This window comes from Homo sapiens, chromosome 5 (genome assembly GCF_000001405.40).
Source record: "Homo sapiens chromosome 5, GRCh38.p14 Primary Assembly".
In the NCBI taxonomy this organism is placed as follows: Eukaryota; Metazoa; Chordata; class Mammalia; order Primates; family Hominidae; genus Homo; species Homo sapiens.
In genome coordinates, this window is record NC_000005.10 from 173,028,764 (window position 1) to 173,037,699 (window position 8,936).

The following is an 8,936-nucleotide window of genomic DNA, read 5'->3' on the forward strand; positions in this document are numbered from 1 at the left end:
CCATCCTTGGCTTTGCCAGCCTCGTCTGCTTCCCTTAGATTCCTGAGTGTGACTTCCTAAGATGTATGTGGGACTCTAATGTCAAGGTTGCTGTTTTTGTTGATGTTCACTTTCCTACAGCCTTGTGGGGTGTGCTGCTACCATGGAATCTCCTTGGAGGGGTGGCTTCGGCTTCAGATCCAGCATCCTGGAAGTTACTTGGTTTAGCAAGGCATTGTTGCCTGGTAGATGATCTGATATGGTTGACCACAGTCTGAAGGCATAGAAATGCTGTTTTATTATAAAGTCCGGGCCAGGAAAGAAATAGAGGATATTGATAATTAGGCCTCTGCCCTGTGGGAGCTGTTTTTCTATGCATTCCTAAAATACTTGAGTGCTTGTGAGGTGTATAGTACTGAAGTAGGGGAAGACTGGGCTCCAAAGGGGTTTGTGATCTGTTGGGGTGTTGAATTAAGCCATACTTGGGAGAAGTTCAATAGTGCAAGGTGTCGTGTGGTTAAAAAGTAAATCTTTTACTCCGAGTACTCTGGCTGGGTATTCTGCTGCCATTTCAGGTTCAGCCATGTCTCCATTTCAGTTCCCAATATCATAGTTTTCCTTGTCAGGGTCAGAACCTGTCGCGTCACTTTTTTCTCCTCTTCCTCAAATCCATTTGCTCTCATTATGTCTCTTGTGTCCGCCTTTCCTTTCCATTCCTCCTTCAGGCACCCTGATTTCTGCCCCAACTTACTACAGCTCTGAATTATGGCAGGTGCTCCTCATCTGGTCTCCCTGGCTCTACCGTCATCTATCTACAGAATACCACCCTGTTTATCTTCCTGGTGTAGCACTTCCTGAAATAGATCAGCTTGCCTCAGAAACTGTCAGTAGTTCTCTGGGGCCTGCAGCAGGATTTTTTGTTTTGTTTTGTTTTGCTTTTCTGTTTTGTTTTGTTTAACCTAAGGTCTCTGATTGTAGAGAGTACATGCCCCTTGAAATGCGATATAAAATGTTATAAGCACACAACTTTTGCCGGGTCACCAGCGGTCCCATGAGCCACAACAGATAAGAACGGCTAACCTGCAGGTCATGTCCAGCTCTGACTTGACTGTCAAGGCCTTCCCTCCCCAGTCTGCCTTCCTTCTCACTACTTTCCCCTCCAGGCCCTAGTGGTGTGGGCCCTTGTTCTTGACCTCATTAGCTTTACTTGGTTTTTCCTGACTCTCACTACCCTATTACATTCATTAATTTAGAAAACAACTTAGTAAATACACTCTCCCGTGAAAATTCCTTCTGCTTTCTTGCCTCAGTTCACCCATTCTCTCTTAATTCTTTCTGATGCTTTCTCTTTCAGTGCCCAGCTGGCAAATCCTAGCACTTCCTTCCTTGGCTACTTTGTTTCAAAGTGATTTCTTTTCTTTCTGAACATATTTAGCTCTCCAGTTTTTGCCATTCATTTGGTACATTGCCTTGAATTGTTAAATACATGCTTAACTCCTTGTATTTAATCTCCTACAATATATAGCCTTACATATCATAGTAAAGAAGGAATTATTTTGCAAATTTATCTAAAATTTTTAAACAGATAAAAATTAAGCCTAATATATCGTTTAAGAAGAATATTCACTTACTTTTCCCCGAACAGATTTCTTGGTTCTAGACTTAATATTTTTATGTTATCTTCATTGTCAGTTTTTTGTTTTTTTTTTTTTTTTTGAAACAGAGTCTCACTCTGTTGCCCAGGCTGGAGTACAGTGGCATGATCTTGGCTTACTGCAAACTCCGCCTCCTGGGTTCAAGTGATTCTCGTGCCTCAGCCTCCCGAGTAGCTGGGATTACAGGAATGTGCCACCATACCCGGCTAATTTTTGTATTTTTAGTAGAGACGGGGTTTCACCATGTTTGCCAGGCTGGTCTTGAACTCCTGATCTCAGGTGATCCGCCCCGCCTCCCAGAGTGCTGAGATTACAGGTGTGAGCCACTGCACCTGGCCCATTGGCAGGTTTTTGTTTGTTTGTTTGTTTGAGATGGAATCTCGCTCTGTCACCCAGACTGGAGTGCAGTGGCGCAATCTTGGCTCATTGCAACATTGACCTCCCAGGTTCAAGTGATTCTCCTGCCTCAGCCTCCCGTATAGCTGGGACTACAGGCATGCACCACCATGCTTGGCTAATTTTTGTATTTATTTATTTATTTATTTATTTATTTATTTATTTATTTGAGACGGAGTCTTGCTCTGTCGCCCAGACTGGAGTGCAGTGGTGCGATCTCCGCTCACCGCAATCTCTGCCTCCCGGGTTCATGCCATTCTCCTGCCTCAGGCTCCCAAGTAGCTGGGACTACAGGTGCCCGCCACCATACCTGGCTAATTTTTTGTATTTTTATTTGAGACGGGGTTTCACTGTGTTAGCCAGGATGGTCTCGATCTCCTGACCTCATGATCTGCCCGCCTCGGCTTCCCAAAGTGCTGGGATTACAGGCGTGAGCCACCGTGCCCGGCCTAATTTTTGTATTTTTTTTTTAGTAGAGATGGGGTACATCATGTTGTCCAGGCTGTTCTCGAACTCCTGACCTCAAGTGATCCACCCACCATGGCCTCCCAAAGTACTGGGATTACAGGCATGAGCCACCGCATCCGACCCTTTGTCAGTTTTATCTGATGGTAACCTTATGACTCTTTTTTTTTTTTTTTTTGAGACGTGCAAAATGAGAACATGGACCCTTTGATTAAGTTCTTCAGCCCCACCCCCAGTCAGCTATTTCTTATCAAAGATGATAAGAATACAGGCTTCCTGGCCAGGCGAGGTGGCTCACGCCTGTAATCCCAGCACTTTGGGAGGCCAAGGCGCGCGGATCACGAGGTCAGGAGATTGAGACCACCCTGGCTAACACAATGAAACTCCGTCTCTACTAAAAAATACAAAAAATTAGCCAGGTATAGTGGCGGGCGCCTGTAGTCCCAGCTACTCGGGAGGCTGAGGCAGGAGAATAGCGTGAACCTGGGAGGCAGGGCTTGCAGTGAGTGGAGATCGCGCCACTGCACTCCATCCAGCCTGGGCGAGAGAGCGAGACTCTGCCTCAAAAAAAAAAAAAAAAGCTTCCTTAATTTACTCCAAAATCAGCCGGGTGCAGTGGCTCACACCTGTAATCCCAGCGCTTTGGGAGGCTGAGGTGGGCAGATTGCTCAAGCCCAGAATTTTGAGACCAGCCTGGGTAACATGGTGAAACCCCATCTCAACAACAACAACAAAAAATACAAAAATCAGCCAGGTATGGTGGCACACGCCTGTAGTCCTAGCTACTTGGGAGGCTGAGATGGAAGGAACTTGAGCCCAGGAGGTGGTGGTTGCAGTGAGCGGTGATGGTGCCACTGCATTTACTCCAGCCTGGATGACAGAGCAAGACCCTGTCTCAAGAATAAATAAATAAATAAAAATAAAAATTTATTCCAAAATCAAACCGCATGCCTTTGCCATGTAACATAATGCACATTTACTTTTATTTTATTTTATTTATTTATTTATTTATTTATTTATTTATTTATTTATTTATTTATTTATTTTGAGATGGGGTCTTGCTCTGTCACCCAGGCTGGAGTCCAATGGTGTGATCTCAGCTCACTGCAACCTCCGCCTCCTGGGTTCAAGCCATTCTCCTTGCCTTAGCCTCCCAGGTAGCTGGGACTACAGGCATGCACCACTACAGCTGGCTAATTTTTTTGTATTTTTAGTAGAGATGGGGTTTTACCATGCTGGCCAGGCTGATCTCGAACTCCTGACCTCAAGTGATCCACCTGCCTCGGCCTCCCAAAGTGCTGGGATTACAGACGTGAGCCACTGTGCCCGGCCTACATTTATTTTAAACTGGTATCATTGATCTTGAGTGAAAACTATCCCCCATTTGTATATGGTTTTTCAAAAGTGAAGGCTTATTTTTCCCTTTTTTGATTGTTTCTTTGTCACAAAATGCCTGTACTATGAAGAAGTCTAATCAGTGTGCTCTTCATGGAAAATTAACAGACAAACCATATGTATTCACTACTTCAGTATTCTCAGATAAAATTTATTTTATTGGCTGGGTGTGATGGCTCATGCCTGTAATCCCAGAACTTTGGGAAGCCAAGGCAAGAGGAAACCTGAGCCCAGGAGTTTGAGACCAGCCTGGGCAATATAGCAAGACCCCATTTCTATGAAAAATTTAAAAATTAGCTGGGCATGATGGCGTGGGCCTATAGTCCCAGCTACTTGGGAGGCTGAGGCAGGAAGATTGCTTGAGTCCAGAAGGTCGAGGCTGCAGTGAGCTGTGTTTGTGGCCACTACACTCCAGGGCAGGTGAGAGAGCGAGACTGTCTGAAAAAAATATTATTTATTGATTAGAGACAGGGTCAGGCTCTGTCACCTAGGCTGGGGTGCAGAATGGCATGATCATAGCTCACTGTAACCTCAAACTCCTGAGCTCTAGTGATCCTCCCACCTCAGCTTCTGGAGTAGCTGGGACTACTGGTGTGTGTCATCGTGCTGTAGAGAGTCTCGCTATGTTGCCCAGGCTGGCCTCAGGTGATCTTCCCGCCTTGGCGTCCCAAAGTGCTGGGATTACAGGTGTGAGCCACCACGCCTGGCCTAAATTTATAATCTGCCTGGTACTGATACTTGTACAAAGAGGCTGTTCTGCTGGCCTAAGGAAGAGAACAGAAAATTATCCCTAGATTAAGTGAAAGATATTATGAGGCTTTCACACTACTACAAGAAACAAGTAGCTCTGGTAATTACCACTCCTTGGCCTGATGTTGTTTTCCTAGTACATTGTAAATATAGTCTGTTTAGGGCATGATGGCTCATGCCTGTAATCCCAGCACTTTGGGAGGCGAGGATGGGCACAACGCTTGAGCCCAGGAGTTAGAGCCCAACCTGGGCAGCATGGTGAAACCCTGTCTCTACAAAAAAATATAAAAATTAGCCGAATGTGTTGGCGTGCACCTGTAGTTCCAGCTACTTGGGAGGCTGAGATGGGAGGATCATTTGGGCTCAGGAGATTGAGACTGCAGTGAGCCGAGATCACGCCACTGCACTCCAGCCTGGATGGCAGAGCAAGACCCTGTGTCCGAAAAAAACAAAAATAAAACAAAACAAAAAAAAAGATGGTGTTGAATTTAAGCTGCTAGAAAAAGAAAAGTGTCATTTGTCACCTACACTCGAGATAGCCAGAACGGGGAGCAAGCTACAGGGCAGCCTCCAGTACAAGACCAATGCAAGGAGCCCGCTCCCCAGGAGCCTGGCCCCAGAGCAGAGTTCGCCATGCCTGCGGAACCTCCCCTCCATGCTATAAGAGGGAAGGGAAAAATACAGACTCTTGAAACTGCGGTGAATTCATTAGATTCCAGCACAATCAATCTCAGTCAGCTTCATTCTTCCTGCTTTCTGTAACATAGAGTGTTACTTGTGCTCCTCATTTCAGCAGTGTCCTTGGTTACTGGACCTTTTGCCACAGCCCTGCAAAACCTGGCCAAACTTGCACCAAGTTGATTATCCTGTGTTTCATATTTTGTTGAGCATCTGTGCATTTTAAAGTGTTGGCTTGGTTAACTTTCTCGATGTTAACTTTTTGCCTTCCTGAGGAATGTATGAGGACCAGTTACCAGAATGGTTTTGTTTTGCAGGTCACGAGAAGAGAATGCCTTCTAGATGCAAAATCACCTCCAAACCAGACCACTTTTCTTGACTTGCCTGTTTTGGCCATTAGCTGCCTTAAACGTTAACAGCACATTTGAATGCCTTATTCTACAATGCAGCGTGTTTTCCTTTGCCTTTTTTGCACTTTGGTGAATTACGTGCCTCCATAACCTGAACTGTGCCGACTCCACAAAACGATTATGTACTCTTCTGAGATAGAAGATGCTGTTCTTCTGAGAGATACGTTACTCTCTCCTTGGAATCTGTGGATTTGAAGATGGCTCCTGCCTTCTCACGTGGGAATCAGTGAAGTGTTTAGAAACTGCTGCAAGACAAACAAGACTCCAGTGGGGTGGTCAGTAGGAGAGCACGTTCAGAGGGAAGAGCCATCTCAACAGAATCGCACCAAACTATACTTTCAGGATGAATTTCTTCTTTCTGCCATCTTTTGGAATAAATATTTTCCTCCTTTCTATGGAAATCTGGGCTCGGTGTTTGTAAAGTTCATTTTTATAAGCTTTTCTATCGCTACATAATGCCTTTTTAAAAAATGATTTTGTAGTCTAAACTTAGGTTGAGTATATAAACCCTGCCATGTAGCTTGAGATGCCTGAAAAGACTGGTAAGTGCGTTTCTTAATCGTTCAGTAACTATTTGAGTGCCTACTGCAGCCAAGGCACTGGAGGGATCAAAGATGTGTAAATTTGGAGTCCCTGCAAGTTCACAAGCTATTTGGAGAGATAAGGTTAGTATACATAGAACTGTAATATAAGGTTGTGTTGGAGCATTGTCCTTAAAGATGGTACCATGGTGAGCAGTTCAAGGTTACCTGCCAGCTGCAGAACAAGGCAGCAAATGCTCCTGAGATGGAACCATCACAGCCTCAGACATAGGACTAAAGAAGTCAAGAGTGATTAAAAAGCCAGGGGCAGGAGACAGTAATTTTGTATTTCAGTAGCAGGCATCTCGATACACTAATTTGAGAGCTTTATTACTTTTAAGAAATTAAAAATTAAAATGAACCTAAATTTTCACCAGCTCATGGCTTTTTGACAGCCAGCCAAGAATGGATTTCCTGTTTTGCAGTTTCTACTTTCTATTCCTCCCAAACTGTCTGAACTCATTACTTTGCTATTCTTATGACCAAAGTGAGTTTCAAGTTGAAGTGACTCTCCTGCTCTCGTTTCTTTTCATTCTTTACTTTTGTTTTGCGCAGTCTGTTAGGCAACTCCATGCTTTACGTTTCCAGCAGGAGGGCCACATTAGCTAATTTCATGGAATACATGAAACATTGATGATTTGAAGTTGAAGGGGGCTATGGTGATATAGGCTAACCCCATCATTTTATGGATAAGGAAGCTGAGCCCAGACAGGGAGAATTTCTCGCCCAGCTTAATGCAGTTGGTCAGAGCTAGACAGGGGAGTAAGATCCATGTTTTCTTTCTTTTTTTCTTGAGACAGAGTCTCACTCTGTCGCCCAGGCTGGAGTGCAGTGGTGCGATCTCAGCTCACTGCAACCTCTGCCTCCCGGGTTCAAGCAATTCTCCTGCCTCAGCCTCCTGAGTAGCTGAGATTACAGGCACCTGCCACCGCGCCCGACTAATTTTTGTATTTTTAGTAGAGACAGGGTTTCACCATGTTGGTCAGGCTGGTCTCCTGACCTCGTGATCCGCCCACCTTGGTCTCCGAAAGTGCTGGGATTACAGGTGTGAGCCACCGCGCCCTGCCATCATACTATTGTTGAAATGTGGGAATGACGAAATCAGCTCAGGTTTTATGAGAGGAAACTCGGTAAATTCCCTTTGCTCAGGAAGTCACTTCACCCTTGAGCCCTAGTTGTTTCATTTATTAAATTCTTGAGAAGGTTCAGTGCCATTAATACCTAAACCCAGGCACATGTTCTCTCGTCACCTCACCCTTAATAGCAGAACTGTTTGTTAACAACATGATTAGGCATCGGAGATGGATGTTGGTGAATCATATTTTCCTGACCGTTGCCACACTCCATCCAGTGTTTGTCAGGGCCCAGACTGGAAGGACCTCCATTTAGCCCGTTCAGAGGATACCGAAAATGTTCCTGCGCTCCAGAGCCCTTCCAGGCGAACGTCATGTGGCCTCCTGGGACAATCACTAGATTAGCAGAGGTCCTAGGTTTGCCATCTTACTCCCATCACTCGCTAGCTGTGTAACGGGGCAAATCATTTAATTTCTGACTCTCAGTGTTTTCATCTGTAAAATAGGGATAATGCATACCTTTTCTACTATACGAAGTTGTTACCAAATGAGATTTTGGCGGGGAAGGTGATTTGTGAATTATAATAATACATCAAGAGTATTTTCCAAATAAATGACCAAATCCCCAGGGTACACTGACAGTACTTTTCTATTCAGATAGGACCCAGAGGGACAGCCAAGTGATTTTTTTTTTCTACGTAGGGTTACACTTTGGGTTCTTTGTGTTTTGTTTTGTTTGAGACAGAGTTTCGCTCTTGTTGCCCAGGCTGGAGTGCAATGGCACGATCTCAGCTCACTGCAGCCTCCACCTCCCAGGTTCAAGCAGTTCTGCCTCAGCCTCCCAAGTAGCTGGGATTACAGTAGGCTGCCTCCACGCCTGGCTAATTTTTTGTATTTTTGGTAGAGACGGGGTTTCACCATGTTGGTCAGGGTGGTCTTGAACTCCTGACCTCAGGTGATCCGCCCACCCTCGACCTCCCAAAGTGCTGGGATTACAGGCGTGAGCCACTGTGCCTGGCCTATGGTTACACTTTTGATTAGTCATTTGTACTTGGAGGTAGAGGTTTACAGAAAAATAAAAGGCACCCTTATTAGGCCCCCAGGCCTGAGTTCAGAGCCAGAGCCTAAGTGGCTGGACCACACCCTTCCTGCCCTTCCAGGTTCTACCAACTCTTATACCAGGATAGAAGTATTTCTGGCATGATTTTGAAGATGAAGTGTGAGGATTGATTGGTTTCTTTTAGCACTGTTTTTGTTGTTTTCTTTAAACATATAATGATGTCTAGACGTGTGTCACTACCCCAACTTAATAATATTTTATCTTTCCTTTGATGTTGCTTCAAAAGTAGCACCTTCTTGTTTAGCCTTTTTTTTTTTTTTTAAGCAACGGTAGGTGTTTGGTCATGCTGAAGTAAATTTAGAATTTGAGAAATGATTTAAAATTGTTGCCAAGAATCATGAAAAATTTGGCAAGAGTCAATTGCTCCTTTATTAACATAAATTATGTTTAAAAATATATGTCTACACATTTTAGAACAGTTTCATACTCCATCC

General features: G+C 44.5%; 1 protein-coding gene across 1 annotated transcript in view, besides 1 other annotated feature; it reads left to right on the forward strand.

The window, feature by feature from the left end:
- The window catches only part of ATP6V0E1 (ATPase H+ transporting V0 subunit e1), a 51,675-nt gene extending 44,993 nt beyond the window's left edge, over window positions 1-6,682 (forward strand). Inside the window, exon 4 of the mRNA NM_003945.4 lies at window positions 5,636-6,682. The gene's annotated coding sequence lies outside the window, so the exon portion shown is untranslated. The remainder of the gene's footprint in view (window positions 1-5,635) is intronic.
- Window positions 8,244-8,313: a silencer, noted in NCBI's record as "silent region_16633". NCBI's record gives its function as "represses an Ori minimal core promoter by ATAC-STARR-seq in GM12878 lymphoblastoid cells {active_cell/tissue: GM12878}" and the evidence as "EXISTENCE:reporter gene assay evidence [ECO:0000049][PMID:35858748]".